Source organism: Homo sapiens, chromosome 2, assembly GCF_000001405.40.
Source record: "Homo sapiens chromosome 2, GRCh38.p14 Primary Assembly".
Taxonomy (NCBI): domain Eukaryota; kingdom Metazoa; phylum Chordata; class Mammalia; order Primates; family Hominidae; genus Homo; species Homo sapiens.
In genome coordinates this window covers 167,466,512-167,489,618 of record NC_000002.12, presented here as the reverse complement: position 1 = coordinate 167,489,618, position 23,107 = coordinate 167,466,512, and the positions used below count along the sequence as shown (strand labels likewise).

The following is a 23,107-nucleotide window of genomic DNA, read 5'->3' as shown; positions in this document are numbered from 1 at the left end:
AAAGTGTGTTCTGCCAGCATGTTCTATAAGATAGCCTTCCAACAACACAAAGTCTCAGGCATTCTTTTCTGGAACTCGCAAGGAAAATAAGCTGGCTTTGGCAGTTGATCACAGACTGTTCTAATTCAATGAAGCCATTTTCTACAGGCTTTACTTGGCAAGCTTCTTTCCACTGCCTGCAAACTGACTGTTTCTTTGTAAACCTTGTTGCAATTCAACCCAAACACCTCTACACCCCAGTTATCTGTTACTGAAAAATCTATTTTAAAGAAGACTTTCAGTGGAATACCTGATTTTGGAGCCTTTCCTTAACCTTTACAAACTGTTATGCATAGGTCATTATCTACAGAAGTGTGTTCTGGAAAAAGGACGCCAATGGTGTAGTGATGTATAACACTGGAGAAGTCAGAAAGCCCAGGCTGAGTTACCTGCTCTAAAATGTGCCCCTCTTGATCTGCTTGGCTTATCAAATGATCTGCCTATGGAAGTTCATAGTACAATGACGTTAGTTTGATGGCACCTCTGAACTCTACTTCTAACAATCATTCTGTATATTTTTAGAATTCTTAAAAGCACATAGTTGTAGATTGGGGAAAATGTCATCAATAAATCCTCCAAGGAGACACAAAGTATTTTTTTTTTTTTGTAATATCATAGTCCTTCATTATTAATCTTATTTTTAACATGGCTAAGTTCTTGATTCCCAAGAATTCAATTAAACATCTATGGATAAATCGAAAAATCTTAAAGTTGCATGAAACAAGCCTGACACAAAAAAGTGCATACTATATAGTTACATTTATATGAAGTTCTAGAAAAGGCAAAAATAAGCTATAATGATCATCAGAACAGTGGCTGTGAGGAATTGACAGAAATGTAGCAAGAGGGAACTTTCTGGAATAATGAAAAAATTCTCTATCTTGATTGGATAATGGTTACATGGGTGTATATACTTGACAAAATTCATGGAACTGTGACCTTAAAATCTGTATACTTTATTGTAACTCAACTTGTACTTACATTAAAAAACAAACAGACAAACAATAGGACCGAGGCTTCTCAAGTTTTGGTATGATTTTGAGTGACAGTCTTTAAGATGAACTGTACAGTGAAAACCAGTTCTTTATTCCTTCATTCATTTATCCACTTGAGAAAGATTTACTAAGCACACATATACCCAGAATTAATACAATGGCAGTGTGCTAGAAAAAATAATGGTTAGCAAAATAGACACAGCCCTTATTCTCACAGACATTAGAGTCTGTTGGGGGAAAACAGACAATTAAAGTAGACAAAAACAAAGAATTATCACTGTAGCATTGGGAGAAGGCCTATATTTTAACCAAGAGTTGCATCAAAACAGAATGAACTACTTTATACTAAACCCTAAGCCAATGTGTGCTGAAAATATTGGTGTTTGCTGAGTCATTAAAAGCTGATAGAGTGCTTAGACCAAAGCAAAACAAATAATGTTTTTCTATTAAACCAACCCTATATATGCTCCAAATCTAATGAATCAAAACATTAAAATACTTTTCAAAGTCAAATTTCATTTGGCCATTGAAGACCTTTTTTTTAACAGAATTTAGGTCGTCTATGTCCTAAGGCATTTTACATATACAGCTGTCCACAGGAATAACATGGTGTTAAATGACCTTCTTTTCCATGAGCAAGTCCCAGCTGGGAAGACAGGTGCATCTACTTCTGGTCATTCTGCTGCCAATGGGGGATTTGCAGGCTTTCCCAAAAGCAAGCATTATGCATACTCACGATAAATCCAAGCTTGTGACAGGTGCAGTATTTGATATACAAACAAAGTATAACCACAAATAGACCCGTTTTCCAATATAAAATGCTTTCAGATACATATATCCCCCTCACTACTACCAAACTCACACTTTAAAATGAAGTCCTTCTGTGGGCAATCCCATTTTTAAAGCATATGAAAATATTTTATAGCCTAACTAGTATTAAAAAATCCTCTTGTTTCTTTTTTGGTTTCCCAACCAATTTGTTCAAAATCTCTCCAAAATGAGAGGAGTCATAAGATTAAACAGATAAAAGAATACTATTAACATGAGAAAAATAAATAAAATATGAACCATATAAAGAGTTATTGGATTTTTAAGCCTTCTAAGGAAGGCTAACCTATTGTTATTTTGTGAAACTGTCTAGAAGGAAACCAATATCTGTTAAAGAATACTCTAAGAGGAAACATGCCAATAACAGTGGGTAGTTCAAAAATACGCTTTGGAATGAGAAGCTTACTTTAAACAGAGGCCATAAAGGATGTTGAATGTTTTATATTTAATCAGCAAAACACGCACAACATTACCTTCCCAGTCTCTGACCAGACAATTTAGGGTTTGGGCTACAGTCTACTGGCAGGACAAAAAGTGGCCTTCTGAACAAAGTAAGTGGGACTTGAAACAACTAATTCAAATAGATGAGCCACTTTACACCCTCAGAAAACATGGTCAGATTTGAATCCTAACTCTACAAGGACAGTTTCTTTACTTTCTCACTCTGGTTAGTGATAAATTCAAAAGAAATCTTTTATTACTGATGAGGAATTATAGTTCCTGTTTGTATACATTTCACATATTTAATATTTTTTTAAAGTACATATTTTAACAAAAATATAAACATTTTTAAATCTCATGTTTTATTTTTTATTCTACAGCCAAATGGTTGATAATTAAAGGAGTTAACATAACAGAACATTTTCCCAACATTCTTGTGTGATTTTTCCTTCTTCTCCAATTTCTACTCTCCCAATCCCACTTCAATATTTTTGCTTTCTATTCTTTCTTTTGGCCAGTGTGAGTATCAGTTCTCTGTATTTCCTCGTCATTCTTTCATATTTACTTTCTCATAAATATGGTACTTGTTTTAAATTTTTTTAATTTGTTCTCACTCTTTCACCAGGCTGGAGTGCAGTGGTGTGATCTCGGCTCACTGCAACCTTCGCCTCCCGGCTTCAAGTGATTCTCCTGCCTCAGCCTCCTGAGTAGCTGGGACTACAGGCGTGCGCCACAACACCCAGCTAGTTTTTGTATTTTTAGTAGAGACGTGGTTTCACCATGTTGGCCAGGATGGTCTCGATCTCTTGACCTAGTGATCTGCCTGCCTCAGCCTCCCAAAGCGCTGGGCAGGCATGAGCCACTGTGCCCGGCCTAAATACGGTACTTTAAAGGAAATGTGGTATTTAGTTTGTGAGATATAAAGCATCTTTTCTTTTCTTTTCTTTTTTTTTTTTTTGAGACAGAGTCTCACTCTGTCACAAGGCTGGAGTGCAGTGGCACGATCTCGGCTAACTGCAACTTCTGCCTCCTGGGTTCCAGCAATTCTCCTGCCTCAGCCTCCTGAGTAGCTGGGACTACAGGCATGCGCCACCACACCCAGCTAATTTTTGTATTTTTAGTAGAGTTGGGGTTTCACCATGTTGGCCAGGATGGTCTTGATCTCTTGACCTTGTGATCCACCTGCCTTGGCCTCCAAAGTGCTGAGATTACAGGTGTGAGCCACCACGTCCAGCCTGAAGAATCTCATAAATATTTGCACTTAAGACTTTCTCAAATTTCAATCCATTAGATACATAATTGTGGTACAGAATTCTAGATAATTTCTAATGGTTTTTCATGGCCATGGCTTTCTTCTCCAGTAACGCCCAAAGATATCACGACCTTCAGTCTGCAGGGCTTGTATCTAATGCTAAGACAAGCCTTTCCTCTGTGTCCTGAGAGTAAATTTTAAGCAGCTATAACTTAATGCATCTATTGACACTAAAATCTAACTAATGGCACTGAACATTTTGAAAACAGAAGTGAAATCTTTGGAACTAGTGACTTGGGAGTAAATTTTTCCAGAGGTTCAAATTTACGGCTTATCTTTAATGCATATGCATAGTTTAGATTAATTCAAAAGCATATATTTAGCTCCTAGGATGTGGCAGTCTTCATGCAAAGTACTAAGGACACACGGCCATTCCTCTAAATTAACTTCGTAGCTTAGCCATTGAAGTCAAAGGAGACATAAACACATACAAGATAACTTAATGCCATTTGTCAAGTGCTATGACAACTGTATACATAGCACTATGAAATATGTAGCCTGGACACTCAATTTCCCAGATGAAGTGAGAATGACTAGGACACGTTCCATAAATATTGACTGAACATCTGACTTTGGGATAGCAAACCAGTTGTTCCATCTAATCTAATTAAGATACTATCCTGATTGTTAGTTACAGAAGACCTCATCAAATGCTTACACAAACAGGACACACTTGGTTTTGTCCTGTTTTTCATTCAAATAATCTTTTTTTCAAAACTTGCCATGTGGGTGGTTCAGGCAGAATTTTCTCACCCATAAAATGTACACATTAATAGCATTATATTTTGATATTTAATGAAAAAATATATATGCATGTAAACCAAAAATAAATTTCTAAGCCCTCCATCTAACTGAATGGATCCCTCCTCTTGGCCAAGAGGATTCCAAAGTAAACCTGAAAAACTTGTTCAGGCCATGATGGGAAGTGGGGGTTGGACATGCCTTACTATACTCTCTTCCCTTTGGAATTCAGGCACAACTGACCAGCATTAGCACTGAAACAGAGATCTTAAGAATGACAAAATGTAAAAGTATCTTTACAGCTGTAAGATACCGAATTCTAACTCACTCTAGTCTAGCATCACATGACAGACTGCAGGCCCTGAAAGAAATTATTTTACCCTGAAATATATTTCTTGGACATATTTTGAAATGGCCACGGCAAAGTTGTCTCTTGTGAGGGAAGTGTACATTCTGTAGAGAATCCCCTTCCCTTTCTAGTTCTTTTTCTGAGCCTGAAGAGATTAGCTGAGAGTTAAGCACCTTTTAAAGATCTGAATAGGAAACATTTGCCACCTATTGCCTCTAAGGGTAGCCACTTATGAGACTTCATCTACATAATAGAACCTTGGTCTCCACAATCTCTTCTTAACCTAGACACTCCTTTCTATTGATTCCAGGTCTTCAGATAATAACTTAACTCTTTCAACAAATTGCCAATCAGAAAATCTTCAAATCCACCTACGACCTAGAAGACCCTGCTTCTAGTTGTCCCACTTTTATGGATTCAAACAATGTATAACTCATAGTATTGATTGACGCCTGCCTGTAAGTTCTGTCCCACTAGAATGTGTAAAATCAAGTTGTAATCCAACCACCTTGGGCACACGTTCTCAGTACTTCTTGAGACTGTCTTGGGCCTTAGCCACTCGTATTTGGCTCAAAATAAACCTTTTTAAATACTTTATAGAGTTTGACTTTTTTTTTGTTGACATAAAGTACTTAGTACAGTACCTGGTATAGTAATTGCTCTCCACTCCACTCCCTCCCAAAAAAAGAAAGAACAAAACTCAATACATTTTTACTGAAGGCTTGGCTTATCATTGTAATTATCTATCCTTAGGCGAAAATTTTCACATATAAAGATGTGAGATTAGTTGTCATAGTTATTCCCTCAGAAGAGGTCATCCAACTTATTAAAAGAGGTTGCTTATGTTTATATCTGAAGTAAGAGCCATATATTCCTTAAAGACAATAGGGCTCATATGGAGCTTCTATATGTGGCTAGAGGTCAGTTCTTAACGGAGATAGCTCCATTGAAGATGCTTGTTGTGTGCAATAGAGACAGAGGGTTTTGGAATTTCCATGCGATCCATGGATAGGTTCTATAGGGTCTGTACATTCCTCTTAAATATACTGAATGAACAAATTATGAGCCAAATAATGAACCAAAAGAACACCAGGTATCTTCATTGGAAAAGCAGGCATTATTTAACATATATTTAACATATAGTTTCAAGTTATCTGATTCTATGGAGGGCTGATTGAGCTATTTTACAAGGCTATAAATTATATATAAATGGTAGCAATTAAAATAATACTTATCCAAAGACATGTAAATTCCTTTTGGTGGAGGAACAACTGATCTTTCTCTCCACTGCAACCTAGGGGAAAAAGCCAGTTTTTCATCTATTTGTAGATTCATTTCAACATTCCTGACTCAACCATATATGTGTATTAATTTGAATTCTATATTAAACCAGTTAACATTTTACTGGTTTCCTTGTTAATAACTGAGTTAAATAACATTTTGATAGTTTTTTATATTTGAATTTGTCCCTTTGGAAAATTATCTTTGAATATTCTTATTTGTGTTTTGATTTCCCATAATAATTTAGCCAAGTACTGCCATATGAACCCAGTGTTTATGTTTGTAGATACTATTGTTTTGGCCTCAAGAAGTTTTTGTTGTTTTTGTTGTTGTTGTTTTGAGATGGAGTTTTGCTCTCGTTGCCCAGGCTGGAGTGCAATGGCGCGATCTCAGCTCACCACAACCTCCATCTCCCAGGTTCAAGTGATTCTCCTGCCTCAGCCTTCCGAGTAGCTGGGATTACAGGCATGCGTCACCACGCCCAGCTAATTTTGTATTTTTAGTAGAGAGGGGGTTTCTCCATGTTGGTCAGGCTGGTCTCGAACTCCCATCCTCAGGTGATCTGCCTGCCTCCACCTCCCAAAGTGCTGGGATTACAGGAGTGAGCCACCCCGCCTGGCCACTGGCCTCAAGAAATTTTAATGAGAAAAGAACAGAGATAGCAAAAGGCAAACAACGATACTGTGCAGAGGCTCCAAAAAATATTAGAATTATCATAATACAGCACACTGCGTTATAATTATGTTTTGTGAGAGATATAAGCACAGAGTGTTTATGCTTGGCTTTCTTTTTTGAGACAGGGTCTGGCTCTGTTGCCCAGGCTGGAGTGCAGTGGCGCCATCTCAGCTCACTGCAACCTCTGCCTCCTGGGTTCAAGTGATTCTCCTGCCTCAGCCTCCCTAGCAGTTGGGATTACAGGCACCTGCCACCATGCCCGGCTAATTTTTTTATTTTTAGTAGAGTCAGGGTTTCACTGTGTTGGTCAGGTTTATGCTTGGTTTTGTTTGCATATTTTTAAGTAACAATGTAATAAAAATGATTTAACACTGGGGTTCGAAGAGAAGATTTTTGTACTAGTTTTTGTTTTTGTCTTAAAGACACGGTATATATTGTAGAAGTTTGAGAAACAATGGCCTGGAGGAGGTGAACAATGTATATTTCAAATTTCGCATTTGTGAAAATGTAGTGTCTAAGTTATAAAACTCTGGTGTCCTGAAAGAGTTAATTTATTTTAATCTCATGATCATCTTTAATTCATACTTACTTCCCATCAGATCATGTACTATAAGAATAAAGAAAGCTCAAAATAAATGTTTTTGTTTTAAAAACCTAGACATAATGGAGATTTGAAAGCCCCCGTGTAGCCAAAAAATATGATTCATCTCTTCAGATTTTGATATATTATTCATTTGAGTTTAGTAATATTAGAGTCAGACTATGAGATTATTTTATTAACCAAGAACTGTGAGGAGAGATGTCTTTATGCTGCATCCATTTGAAAGCAAGAAGGCAGGAGGAAAGGAACGACACAAAATTTGTGCTGTTTAAACTTACAGAATCATTTCCTACCCTTCTACAGCTAACTGTATCTTGGGAAAATAACAGCTGTTAGGTTGGAAATATGTTTTAATTGTTTTCTAAAAAAAAAGAAATACATTGTTTTTCTGTATACTATTCACTTAAAAGAGACTTTTAATCTCTGCCTTCAAAAAAAGGATTTTAAACTCTGCCTTTAACTTTTTAACTCTGCCTTAAAATTGTGCATCCTGAAATAACTCTTTTGGGCATGTAACAGAGTGCTCTCTCCAGTGGTGGAGAAAGAAATACAAAATACACAATTAACTCTACCACCATACAGAACAGGTGAAGATTCCAGGTTTGGCTGTGAACTTCCTGGAAAGGCAAGCTTTGGGAGGCTGTTACTGTTTGAAAAATGATGTTCATTTGGTCAGAGAGGAATTCTCAGCATTTAGGAAATTAGGGACATGACCATCATTCTTTCTCAGTTGCTTACACCTAGTGCCTGGCACATAGGCATTCAATATATAAATGAATCATGTTTATAGCTAAGATTGTACCAAGACAGCATGGCCGTGTTGAAACATTTTGGAAAAGCAAATTTAGTGACAGCATGTGCAGCTCTATTATAGCAAAAACATTTTAGCATTAATTTTGTTTTAACGGAGGAACATTATTTAAGTTAGACTACAGAGGTATATAATTAAAACATTTATTGTTTTGTTTTTATTTTAGCTTATGGAGATAAGCTAAACTTAGATAAATATACAGGCAAACTTAGATAAATATACAGGACAACTATCATTTTATTCCACTGTGGGTTTGTTCTGTAGCGGGGTATTTTGATATTAAACTAAGTGAAGAATTTTTCAATTTATTTTAGTTATGTTTTTTTTACCATATATAAGCAGCAAAAAGGACTTTATGCCTCAGGGTAAGGTTGATTCAGAGAGAACAAAGATGCACATTTTTGGCCTTTGAGCAACTAATTTGACCCTTGTAAGTCAACAGTGCAGACAATCGTCTTTAAAACCATGGTTTTGAATTGCAAGTACCAGCTGCTGGAGAGAAAAAAAGTTCCAAAAGCTTGGATTTAAATATCAAGAACCAAATCTTATAGGACTGGGAGCAAAGGGTTCAAGGCCACAGTGAAGGTGGAAAAGATAAGTGATGCCATATGAGCAGTTTTTCTACAGCACTGAAGAGGAGAGATAGGGAAAGTGAAACAAAAGGAGTGTAGACAGTATGGGTTGCCGTCTTCCCTGAACCTGCTCTGGGGTTGAAACTCTGGCCAGTTGGGTGATAGAAACTTCCCAAAATATTTAGTCACTCTTGTACTGGGGACTCACTCCCAGTGAACTCTGAAACTTGAGAAGAAAATAACCTTGCTGATTGCCTTCAACAAACTAAGCTGCAATAGGTGGAAATGTCAGCAAGGCAGCTCTGGGTAAAGAGAAGGCCTAAGATAGTCCCCGCCCCACCTGTGGTGGTTTCGTTTGTTTGTTTGTTTTTTGTTTTTTTAGCACTCACAAGTTCTCAACACCATGGCTAAGGAACAAAACAGAGTTAAGGGTTGACAATCAGCAAGCCTAAAGAGTCACTCTAGCTTGATGTCATGGGAGTCCACAGCTGCACAAAGCTGCAGAGTGGGCAGCCCTAGCTGTGAAACCTCCTTTGCAGAGGTTACGACAGTGGGAGAAATTGAGCATGGCTGACTCCATTTTGCTTCTAGCCTCGCAGGCTGCTGGCTTCGCTCATTCCTGGGTGTGGGGCTGGCTAGGCATGGGAGGAGTTTAGTTTATCCTTTAACTTTGAAGCAAAGATGGTAATAGTCCCTCCCTAAAACTGATCCCTCTCTGGGGGCTGAAACTGCCTTTGTAAGACTAATGGAAGGCTACAAGATTAGGTGGGAGGGGCATGAAGTCTGCTAAAATGTAGGCATGGTTTCTATAATCCCTTACTGCTCAAGAGTCATGTAGCCAGGGGTCACAAGATTTATAGCTTCATCAACTGCTCCTATAGTTAACATCATGACTGTAGAACCCAAGATTGCGCTTTCCAGATGTTTTACAGACTTTCACATTCCGGCAACTGACTGACCCCATCCAGACACAATCCACAATCATCCTGTGGCCCCAGCCAGAGGCAGACTCAGCGCATGAGGGCCATTTTCCACATCCCTATGATGTGGAAAATTGGTTCCCCAGCTAATAAGCAGCACCTATTCTGTAGTCTTCTGCCCACAAAACTATTTGAAAGCCTCTAACCCTCTGAGCCTTTTGACTGATTTAAGTGATTCTACCACGTGGCTAGCATCGCATTACTTAAACTCTTTCTTTATTACAATACCACGGTCTCGGTGAACTGGTTTTGTCTGTGCAGCAGGCAAGAAAAACCCATTGGGTGATTACAGTGGTGGGATATCCTGAATTGAACCCAAAGAGGATCACTTTGAGATAGGAGGTAGCCAAGTTACCTCAAATTGCAAGACTGAATTTTCTGCTACCAATAAAAGGAAGACCAGAGTTGAATTGTGCTTACTAGCAGAAATATGAAAGTTATGTTTTACTCACTTGAATCTTGTTACATTTCCATCTCAGTCATACAGAGTTTTAAAACAAAAGCTAATACATTCAAAATATATGCTCTCCCACAAACATATATCAGTTCACTCTTAAATAATCAAATAGTAACTAACAGGGAGGAGAAGAGATTGTTCTGTGGGGTCCCTAGCATTTAATGCAATGCTTGATCTAAAATATACATGCATATTTTTGAATTAGTAACTGAATACATTAATTATTGCCAATACACATCTAGATAAAAATAATAAATGCTAATATTACTGAACATTTTGTTGGAACTAAACCTTTGCCTGTACCACCTCATTTAATCTTCAACTACCTATACACTAATATCAATATTCTTGTTTTACACAGTGGGGAATTTTGGTTTATAAAGGTGAAGTGATCTACTCCATGTCCCAAAACTAGTAAACAGCATTTCTTTTATTTATTTATTATTTATTTATTTACTTATTTATTTATTTTTGAGCCGAAGTCTCACTCTGTTGCCCAGGCTGGAGTGCAGTGGCGCGACCTAGGATCACTGAAAGCTTCGCCTCCCGGGATCACACCATTCTCCTGCCCCAGCCTCCCAAGTAGCATACAATCCAAAATATTACAATGCTGAAGCTTATATCTGAAAAGTTGTTTTCAAATATTTGAAGAAAATTTAGAAAGCTGGTTTCACACAACCATCATTCTCAGCAAACTATCACAAGGACAAAAAACCAAACACCACATGTTCTCACTCAAAGGTGGGAATTGAACAAATTAGAACACTTGGACACAGGGTGGGGAACATCACACACCGGGGCCTATCATGGGGTGGGGGGAGGAGGGACGAATAGCATTAGGAGATATACCTAATGTAAATGACGAGTTAATGGGTGCAGCACACCAACATGGCACATGTATACATATGTAACAAACCTGCACGTTGTGCACATGTACCCTAGAACTTAAAGTATAATTTAAAAAAAAACTATAATAACCCTAAAAAAAAAAGAAAGTTGGTTTCACACTGCCATTTGCTTTTGTTTTTTTATAAGCCTTGATTTTAGTGTCCTCACTTAGCATCTTAACACAGTAGATCTGGGAGGGACTTCATGGATTACCGAGTCCAGCCCCCTATCTAATGATTGACGGAACTGACTTCCTCAAGGGCACAGAGCAAACAAGGAGTTCTTTCTTTTGGAATAAATCGCCATGCTCTCTTCTTTCCTCTTATTAACTCACCCATTTAATAATTGTTAAAATAGTTGGAAGGTGAAGTGGGTTGGTGTTTAGGATTATAAAGGATTGGGAACACAAGATCAGTGAATGAAGGTTGAAGGGAGAGCAGGTAAAGCAAACTCCTTTGCATTAATCTATTACTATAAACTGTTCCTAAAGCTATGCTTTGAAAATGCCTGCTAAATGTATCCACTCTAAAGAAATTCTTTATAATGGCACGAATACTGCTATCTCCAACCTCAAATTTATTTCATTGCAAAGCAGATTTTCATATTTTGAAGATCTACTTTGTATATATTCTATTTTAATGTTTTGTGCCAACTTGCACAATACCCAAAATATAACAAAATATCAATCTTGTTTGAAACAATAAATAGACCTTTCAAATTCATACATCGTTAGTATTTTCTATTCTGCCATTCAAAATGTGTTTTTGTTGTTTTCTTTTCAATCAGCTTTACAGGAAAAGCATGGGTGGACAAATAGATGTACCCAAAATTGATGATTCAATGGAATGTGTCTGAGGAGAAATGATGTCTTTAAAATGTTGAACAGTTTCCACAACTACTCATTCTTTAAAATTGTTAGACACCAAGGTACATTGACAAATGGGTCTAATAGTTTCTCTGCAGTAGCCATCACAGCAGAATTGGTAATGTACTCTATTATTTTGTTAGACATGCACTTCTAGTGACATTATAGCGCCCATAAAATGGTCTGGTAACTTACAATCCGGATAAAACTAAGTAATATATTTCAGACTTAGTAGAAACGTTTCTTTGGAACTTACTTTTGCATTATTATAGGATCGTACTGTATCATCCTTCCTCTTTCTTCTGTCTAATCACCTAATTTTATTCTTCTTATGATTCTTAAACTGTTCTTGGCAGCTAGTTTTTGTTCAAAGACTCAGGTCTGACTATTCTATATGGTGAATCACTGCATGGCCTGGAGTGGCAAATGTGTAGCCAGGCACAGGGTGTGGCATAATGGAATATAACCTGAGATTGGGTCACATTACCCCAAGGGTGTCATTTCATCCTGTACCTCCAGCTCTACTTGCCAACGTGGCTTTTTAACATCTTTATGTCCTTCTTCCCTTTTGTCCAAAAGGCTAACTTGTCAACCTCCTTCCCACGCACAAAGATTTAAATCTGCCCAACATTCAAAAGCACATATGCTTATAAGTGGGAGGAATTTGAAACATGAAAAGCATTTGCCAATATCTTAGCTTTTGCTCCTCATTTTGAGTTACGCATTAGGATTCTTTGATGACTCCTAAAGCTTGAATAATTGATGAAAACATGGATATGATCAAACACTTTGAAAGTAATTGGTCAATCTGCTCCTTTTATCCTCTGCAGACAGAATTATTTACGGAACTTCAATACTTATTTAAGAGAGGCTTTCTGAAAATTCAGAAAAAAAGTATTTTCTCTTTTCTTCACATTTGGTGATCCCCCTTTCTTCTTTTTCTTCTTTGCTGTCTCCCCCTTAATTTCCTTCTTAATGATTCCATTTCATTAGTTAAAATTAAGAATAAATTATAGATGATGAAATGAATTGTTCAACTTTGCTCAAAAATTTAAGGAAGCCATTATCTCAGTGAGAGGTGTAGAGGATGGAATTTTCAAATTCTATTTCTAATGAAGTATCTATAGTTTGTTTTTAATGGGTGAGTACAGATTCAATACAGGATGTTTTATTAAGACACAGATACCCTGAATATTCGACAGAATTCCAAAACTGTCCACAGTATCCCCCCTTGAAAGGAAAAACCAAGAAGCTGTGAAGGTGTAATAGGACAAGAAGGATCATAATTTATATCTTTCAACATCAGCTGCTTTTTAAAAGTTTTCTGCTGCAGGCCCCAGAATTGAAATGTGACTTGAGGCTGCAACCCAGTGGGCAAATATGATATTTTCTAAACTCCAGACCATAAAAATAATAAACGCTTATATTCATGTCTACTGACATTAAACAAATGCTCAATACTTTTAGCTGTCCCAAATCTGCCTGTGACTACTGAAGATAAATACCTAGAGCTGCTTTTTTGAATGCTAAGCACTGTCTACAGCAGAAGCAAACCAATTAATGAATGTTGACAGTGTTCTTTCTGAACCATTTACTATCATGAATTGTTGTTATGGGTTGAATTGTATATACTGCCCCCCTAAATTCATAGGTTGAAGTCCTGACCCTGAAGACCTCAGAGTGTGAACTAATTGGAAATAGGGTCGTTGCAGATAGAATTAGTTGTGTTAAGATGAGGTCATTCTGGAGTAGGGTGGGCCCCTAATCCAATATGACTGGTGTCTTTGTAAAAAGAAGAAATGTGGACACAGACATGCACACAGAAAGAATGCCTTGTGACAATAAAGGCAGAGATTTGTTGCCTTGGCTGCTGCTGCTGCTAAGGAACAACAAAAGTTGCAGGCAAACCACCAGAAGCTGGGAGAGAGGCCTGGAACATATTCTCCCTCATGGCCTTCAGAAGGAACCCACCCTGCCTTTACTTAGATCGCAAACTTTCAGACCCCAGAACCGTAAAACAATTAATTTCTACTGTTTGAGCCCGCCAGTATGTGGTATGGTAGTACCCCCTTATCTGTGGGGAATACATTCCAAGACCCCCAGTAGATCTTAATCAGAAGACATTTCTGGTCATGTCTTCCACTCACACACTTAATGCCTTTTCCATCTTAACCAAGTGCTTATCAGGCACTGTGGCTGTATCTTTTGTAGTTGAAGTTCGACAGCAAAACTAGCAAAAATTTCTTTTTCCTTCTTCACAATTTCACTAATAGAAGGTTTCTTTTTACTGTAGATTTTAGCAAAAAAAAAAATTTCTTCTCTTAGGTCAAAAACTTTCACCTTTAAAGGAAGTACTTTATGGCTTCTCTTTGGTATATCTGAAGTGCCAGCATCACTAGTTTTATACTTTTGTGCCATTATTAAGTAAAATAAATGTTACTTGAACACAAGCACAGTGATACCTTGAGAGTGGAACTGATAATGGAGAGGGCTACTAAGCGACTTAGGGGTGGGGAGTGTCTCCAGTGTGGATATGCTGGACAAAGAGAGGGTTCAGGTACCAGATGGGACAGGGAAGGATGGCATGAAATTTCATCATGTTACTCAGAATGATGTGCAATCTAAAACTTAGAACTTGATTTCCGAAATTTACTATTTAATATTTTTGGACTGCAGCTGACCATAGGTAATTGAAATTGCAGAAAGCAAAATTGCTAATAGAGGGGTATCTACTGCACTTTCTTATGACAGCCCTAGTGAACTAATAAAGTTGTTTAGTAGAAAGATGTATAAAATCTGATTTAATATTTACAATGCATAGCAGGTATATTTATTTATTATTATGAGGAGACAAAGTCTTCAATCACCCAGTAATTATATCTGAATTGGCAATACAGAATTTTTAGAATCACTTTATAATCACATTTACGTACTCCCTTTGGAGAGCAAACTACACCTTGAATAATTTACATTTTAACATCTGGGTCAAAAATCACATCAAATTTTAGGAGTCTACCAAATGATAATAATAAGAAACTAGAATGTGGCTTCAAGGACTTATTAAAATACTGTTGACAACTATTTCACCTTGCGATGCACCTTTGGTGTCAGAGATAACTGCAGGAGTAGAATCAGGTTTTATAGGGCCTGAATCTTATACAACTTTGGGGTTCCTGTTTAAGAAAAAAGATACGATTATATGTCAAAATTTAGATCCACGTGAAATGAGCCCAAGGGAAGTGATAGGTCCTGAAGCTTAGTCTTGACTAATATTACCTTGAATCTACCTCTGGAGATAAGACAGTAACAATACAGACCAGAGACAATACAACCCGTTTCACAGGAATGAAGTGATGTTAATATCAATACCATTTTGCTACACTTTATTTGTGAAAGAGATAGAAGGTAAAACACAAGGGAAAGGATAGATGACAATACCAAAAGATTGTAAATGTGCTAAATGGATCAATTCAGCCTAATATCCAATCATCATTTCTTTACAAGCAATTAAGACTCTGTCACCAGACGTCAAGTCAATTAGCTGGTAGTGTGGCAATTTATGCTAAGAGTCAGTCAAACAGCTGTTAAAATTATGAACCATTAGACTGATTAGAAATTATCCATATTAAGATGGCGTATCCTATAGACACAGCTGCATCTACTGACATGTCCATGCCATTACATTTCCCTTCCCTCTGTACAGCTGTCAATACTAACTTTCTTAGAGTCAGCTTAAAAGCCCATGCTATTTCATGTATTTATGCCTCTGCCATTCTGATTTCTCTGGTTGGATGTCACTTTCATCTTCCCAGTAAATATCCACTTACCCTTCTGTGTCCCATATGGTTCACTCCCAGATCTGAAAATAATGGGTGGAACATTTATTACTTCACGTGTCTCTACGCTACTCTACGACATTTAAGTTCTTGAAGCAATAAATGTGATACATCATGTAGAAGAGCTACACTTTTTAAAGTCTGTACCTTTCTCTCCTGTTTATTCTTCTGATAGACAATAGCATCCCCTATTTGTCCTCCTAAATTAACCCCAAACTCCTTTCCCAGCCTTGGTTCACTCATGTGGTCACCTTCTTCCATCTCTTGATTGTGATAATCAAAAAACTGATCAGCCAAAGGCAGCCCCTTTCTAGCAAGGCAATGGAGAGAAAGAAACTAAGAAAAGAACCTTGGCTCCAGGTGGCAGGGGGAGTCTGGGAACACTCTATGATGATAATATGAGTTATTTCTTTTTTCAAAACTCAGGCACTTCAGGAAAACCTTCCTAATGATCCACTGTCACCTCTCTCACCATTAATTATTTTGTATCGTTAACATGTTTACTTTATTGTATTTATGAGAATACACTGAAATTAAATTTTAAGACTTTTTCTGCCAGAAAGTGACCTTTCTGAGATCAGGAACTCTTAATTCTCAAGGAACAACAAAGTTTGTTGCCTAGCACAGTGATGGGCACACTATACATTCTTAAGTAACCCTTGTAAGAGAGTAAAATATCTTCCCAGGTTGATTCTAATGCTTCTATTCTCTCAGGACATGTTTACACGATAACTAGAAATTTGACATGCTCACTTTTAGAAAGACTTACATGTAGTAGTTGTCCAATAAGTATTTATGGATTAAGAGATGAGTTCACAAGATTTGAACTTGGGAATCACTAATCTCTGCAAACACACTGTTAAGGTCCTAAGTGGAAATCACTGCAGATTTCTGAATACAAAATGTGCCCGATACAGATTTCTTAATTATATAATTAAGTACCCAAATTCAGGCTAGATTTGTTTTTGGCAGCTTTAATGTGCCACATGGAAAATGACTTAACATTCCTTCACTTTTTCACAAAAAAATCAGAAGGACGTTTAGACTTCTCCCACATGTATATGATAATTTGTCATAAAGAAATCCAAACAAATGGAAATACTGATATCACTGCAGTTGCCATTTTTCACCATGTTTCACTTAACATCTGACAGCTCTGCTCCTTAGATACTGCCAAATAAAGACTATACTTCAATTACAAAAATGAAGAATGAGGAAGAGCACAGCAAGCGGAGGAAAGGATGAGGCAAAGACTCTGACAAAGGAAGAGCACGGAACATTCAGAGAAGAGAAAGGATACCTGAATGTTTTCCAGACAACAGTGACAATTTGGTAGACGAGATGAACTTGTATAGAATATTTTAGGTTGTGATTAGAGACTTGAACTTTATGCTAAAATTTAATGGTAAGTAATTAGAGGTTCTACAGGCTAAGAGCTACCAAGATGGATCCACTGGACTCAAGGGGTAGTGCCCACAGTGAGATTAGAGTTTATGGGAAACACTGAATTAGACCTATGAATTGGGAAGGTGTTGGTAGGATGCTGAGATGGTTTGGAAAGGTCTAATACACTTGGGGGCCACAATCTTTGGCACAGGTATTTCTGTCCATTCTTGTTAATAGCCCCCACCTCCACTTTTATTCATACCCTTCCAAACACACATATTGATACAGCAGGACTGAGCAACTGAAAAATACATGTGTATGAATATTGACTTCAAGTCCCATAACGGCATCTTACCAGCATCAACACATAACGATTGTCTAATTTGTATATCCCTGTAAAACCTACAGTCAGATGTGCAGATTCCTGAAGAGCCAAACATGTACTAATTATATTTAGGATGAACACACTGAAATTAGCTGCTTAGTATATTACCATTCATGGCAAGAAAGTAAACTGCAAAACTGTAAGAGGAACCAGCCACAGAAAGGAAGTTCCTTACTACAGAGTATAAGAAATGTGAGCTTTTGTGGTCTGCCAGCACTTTCTTCTACTACAGTGTTTCACACTATCCCTCTGCTCTCCTACCACCTGGCCAAAGGCCCCAGGCCTCTCACTGAGAGCCATTGTATTATCCACTGATTGTCTTAGGTAGCAACCACTAAAAAAAGCCCAGCCATAGTATTATGGTGACTAATGGACCATGTAAGCCACCCACCAAGAATTTAAGGTATCATCACTCCTACTTTAAAGGAATATGCATATGTGGTGTATTTATTAATAGGAAGGTAAAGTTTAGATATATTGAATAATATTACATTAGGCAGTGTTTTCATTTTTTTTATACTGTTGAATAATCTTATAAGTAATTTGGAAAGGCTACCTCTGGTCAGTTTCCATGTTCCATCTTGAAGCTGGTTCACTACAGGTGTTAGACACCCTGTAGCTTTTATAGTAATCTACCAAACTCTGCATCAGCTGGGTTTCCCCAAAGCTCATTAGTTTCTGATAGAAGCTGCCAAAATCTCAGTTTCTACATCTGCTCTCTGAAATCTTCAACTCCAAAACCCATCTTTCATTTTCAATGGGGGTAATTTAGAAGATGGGGTTTGGTATATAGATTTTTTTTTCCTTTTCAGCTAACTTTGAAAGGATAAAACTGTTCTGCCTGTGAAAGGATAGCTTGCGTGTAAGAATGCTTCTTCCCACCAAGTCTTAGCTCTTTTTATGTGGTACAAATGAATCAAGTGTCGATTTTTATTTTTGAAATGCACGTATTTTTACTATCTGCTAATTAATTCACGGGTCTTGTTTAGAAATAAGAGTTCCCACAGGCCTTTTTAGGAAACAAACCTAAAGAAGAAAAGGTCTCCTTATTTTGTTGATCCAGCATTCTGCTTATCTATTTTTAGCAGATTCTTCTTCACTTTTCCCCATCAGACAGGATGAAGGAGCTGAAACTATATTATAATGAATCTCTTCAATCAGCCTAGTCTCCTTCCTACCTGTATAAAGCATAACAAAATATTAGGCTGCCAAAACCCACGGAAACTGTTTTCTTTGTGGAATAAGGAATCCTTAGAGCAGCAGCTCTGAATGTGCCCCTATAATAGCTATATGAAATTGATCAAGGTATGTGGAAAAGTAGGTGTATATTTTATTTTTAATTTTACATTTCCTCAGTGCTTTGCACAGTTCTTTAAATAGAAATCAGCTCTCAGAAACTGGTTTGCTATATCTCTCAAAGTAAAACTAAAAGATGAACCCAATCTTAACTAATATTGTAACATTTTAAACAGAGTGAATGGATCATGAGCATACTATGCAGTGAGCAGTGGAGATTATGGGGGTGGGACAATCTCAAATCATAACCATGAGTCCCAGGCCCTCCTTCTGCTTCAGGAAAGATCCTTCTGTTTCTAAATATAATCTAGACATCAACATTTTGAAAAAAACATACAGGACTACCATATAATTATTAAAATAACCTCACAGCACTCCATACACTATTATTTAAAATCCAATTCTTTACAGTATTCCAATAAATTGCACTGGATTACAATATGTTTTGTATTATTTAAAATTTAAAGTTAGAATGCCAAGACTAAAATCTATTTCCTAATTCAAGAAAAGGAAGACTAAAATATAAAAACTACTATTTCTACTTAAATTTTAATTGCTAAACCCAGGAAAATGAGTTAACAGATTTTTAGTGTTTTCTGGAATGATCTGACAGTAGAAAATGATTACTGGGACCATTCTTGGGAATGCTTATGCCAGTGAACTTAGTGGACCTTCTTGATATTATTAAATTAATGGCATCAAACACACACCCTATGGGTATAGCAGAAATCAAATAGAGACATGGGGTTTGAAGCTGGTGAGATGCACTGCTGAGCCCTTGGTACTAGAACTCACAGATATATATCAGGATGAGGATTCAGAGGAAGGATATTGTGATGAGAGTTTATTATTGAATGGAGACAAAATGAGTGTTCAAGAAAAAAAATTACGATTCCATTCTTGAGAATCAACATTGTGGGAAAGACAGTCTTTCAGGTCCTAAAAAATTTATACAATTTGCTATTAATAAGTAAACATAATATCTGACAATCTGCATAACATCTGACATAATAGGCTAGTCACTTTTTAATGCTGACCATAGTTTTTTCTTATCTGTCATGATTTTGTAATGATTGTATGTATTAATTAAATCACATGTTATACCTAAAGACATGAATGATAATTAGAAACCGCTTTCCAGTGTAGTTTCATGTTTCCAGGATGACAATTATCATTCAACAGTATATTATCAAAGTTGTTTATATAATACTAGTTTTAACTTTTACTTTACAATCATAAGTATTTGGTAGGTCACATTTTCAGTACTATTACTAGTGATTTAAGATGCATTTTATTAAGATTTAGAATGTATTCTTACCATGGGCACATTTGTTAACATGTACTACTTAAGTGTAACCATGTGATACTGATTATTTGGACAGACAATATAAGTGAATAAAACCATTTTAATTTTCAACTTAAAATTTCAAAATTTCATAGTCCAAATTTTGTTTTTCCAAGTCATTATTTACTAAATGAATGCATACCACTTATGTGTCAGGCACTATTCTAAGTGTTTTACAAGCATTCATTTATTTAATCCTCATAATAATCCCATAAAGCAGATAATGTTATTCCCATTTCACAGATGAGAAACTGAGGCACAGATTAATAAGTAAGATTCCCAAAGCTACTTAGCTAGCAAGAGGTGGCATAGGGTTTTTACACTCTAGCAGCCTGGCTCCAGAGTCCATAATTTTAACCACCACACCATGCTGCTTCTCAGAATACCACTACATAGCTCACCTTACATATTTGATTGCTACAATTCTGTTATTGTAGAATGAGTGTTTCAGACTATTCAGGAATAGCGTCACAGGAGGTCCTTGCACCTTCATACACAACCATGTTATTTTTCTAATCCCTTGATATTTGTGTCCTTTTATTTTATTCAGTAAATACATGGTCCAGTACAATATTGGATATAAGTGGCTACAATGGTATTCTTGCCTTATGCCTGATTTTATGGAGTAAGTTTTAAGTATTTCATTATGATGATTATTATTATTTGAGATGGAGTCTCATTCTGTTGTGCAGGCTGGAGTGCAGTGGCACAATCTCGGCTCACTGCAACCTCCGCCTCCCAGGTTCAAGCTATTCTACTGCCTCAGCCTGTCAAGTAGCTGGGACTCAGGCATGTGCCACAATGCCCGGCTAATTTTTGTATTCTTAGTACAGATGGGGCTTCACCATGTTAGTCAGGCTGGTCTTGAACGCCTGACCTCAGGTGATCTGCCCTCCTCAGCCTCCCAAAGTGCTGGGATTAGAGGTGTGAGCCACCGCGCCTGGCCAAGTATTTCATAATTAAATATGATGTCAGACACACTTTGTCAAGTTGGAAAAATTCATTTTTATTACAAGTTTGAGTGTTTTTAAATTATCGAAAATGTTAAATTCAAATTTCTTTTCTGTATTTACTTAGAAAAACATTCATTTCTTCTTTTATTTTGTAAATGTGGTAAGTTATATTGCTTTTTAATCTTCCATGATTGGAATAAACCCAACTTGATCATTATGTTCTATTTTGTAAGATTTTTTATATTTATGTTACGAGAAAGAGTATTATGTATTTATCTTTTCTTATAGTGTCCCTGTCCAACACTGATTAGATTTGATTTTAAAACCATTTTATAGCCCACTCTCAAAAGTAATTTACTTTGAAAAATTGTTTATCATAGACCTGAGTCATAAGATCCTTTTCTATAAGATTACAGTCCTTCAGATAGTGCACATTAGTAGTCCATAGAATTTTTCCAAAATTGGTATCACTCCAGAAAAATATGCTCTTTCACTGTTTCATGGCCCTTGGAGACTCCTACTGAACAATAAGTGGCATCACTACCCATCCTTTTCCACCCCCTTACTAAACTTTTTACTTCTTTCAAGCACTATCACCAACTAACATATTATATATGTATATTTTTGGTTGCTTATTATCTACTTTCCTCTACTGGACTACAACGTATGGTCTTTGCTTTACCCCAATGTCATAAACAGTGTCTGGCACACGCTAGATATTTAATATATATTTTTGAATGAATGAATGAATAAATGAATCAATGAATACATTAATCTCACACTATGTACTCTAGGTTGTATCTATGTTTGTAGGTTGTATCAAGCTCATAAAGGGTGTGTTGAATTAATTTGCTTGATTGATTGATTTTTTCCTAGGAATGGAAAACAAGTATTTTTGACAAACAAAATACAAATTCTACACAAAATGGCATTTTGATTTAAAAGCCAATTTGTTAATCTCCTCATTGTCTTAACCACGGAATGGCCTTCTGCTCCCCTGCTCTACAAGGAACACAACTCTGCCAGTCATATGTCATCATGTCAGACTCTGGCTGACAGGACAAAACAAAAAATCAGCAGCCAACAGTTTATAATATAAGGATTACAAACACGTAGGAGTAACTCAAAGTAATAAGGCAGCCTTCTTCTAAAAATCTTGATGTGACATTTTTGTTTTTTACTGTTTGCTCTATTATTATTATAACAACATGGTTGCCAAAAATCTATTTTTGAGTTAAAAATAATGCTCGAGGGAGGCCCTACATGAAGTAATAACCCAAAAGAATACTTGGGTTTTCTTCTCACTTTTTCTCTGGAGAATAAATTATAGTTAAACACAGATAAAGATGTCTAGTATTAATGAGGTCCTGAGTGGGTCAGTCGGCTTGGCTCTTTTTCTTAATATCCCTTCCCGTCAGCTCCAGAATGTGAATGTCTCCTACCCTGCTGGTGATTACGTTGACTAAAAAAAAAAATTGTAGACAAATTTGCATCCATCCGGAGGCCTACTGCTACAACACAGTTGTATCATTTTTTATTATAAATGAATGTGATAGGCCAGGAGTTGTGGCTCACACCTGTAATCCCAGCACCCTGGGAGGCTGAGGCAGGCAGATTGCCTGAGCTCAGGAGTTTGAGACCACCTGGGCAACATGGTGAAACCCAATTCTCTACTAAAATACAAAAAAAAAAAAAAAAAAAAATTAGCCAGGCGTGGTGGCGGGCGCCTGTAGTCCCAGCTACTTGGGAGGCTGAGGCAGGAGAATTGCTTGAACCCGTGAGGCAGAAGTTGCAGTGAGCCAAGATCACACCACTGCACTCCAGCCTGGGCAAAAGAGCAAGACTCTGTCTCCAAAAACAAAAGAGTGATAATAGTTAAAAATTATATAAACAAGGTAGACAGCTTACTGAGAACAAGTTAACAGCTTTTATTTTCAAGACCATCCTTTTTTTTTTTTTTTTTTTGACAGAGTCTTGCTCTGTCACCCAGGCTGGAGTGCAGTGGCGGGATCTTAGCTCACTGCTACCTCCTCCTCCCAGGTTCAAGCAATTCTCCTGCCTCAGCCTCCCA

General features: G+C 37.0%; 1 protein-coding gene across 3 annotated transcripts in view; it reads right to left on the bottom strand.

The window, feature by feature from the left end:
* B3GALT1 (beta-1,3-galactosyltransferase 1) overlaps positions 1 to 23,107 on the bottom strand; it is a 581,045-nt gene that overhangs the window by 384,427 nt on the left and 173,511 nt on the right. Inside the window, exon 1 of one of the 3 annotated variants that reach the window (XM_047446159.1) lies at positions 1 to 22,586. This exon is cut by the window's left edge and continues 659 nt beyond it. The exons of the other annotated variants lie outside the window; for them this stretch is intronic. The gene's annotated coding sequence lies outside the window, so the exon portion shown is untranslated. Of the gene's footprint in view, positions 22,587 to 23,107 lie in introns of those variants that run through there. 3 annotated transcript variants of the gene reach the window in all.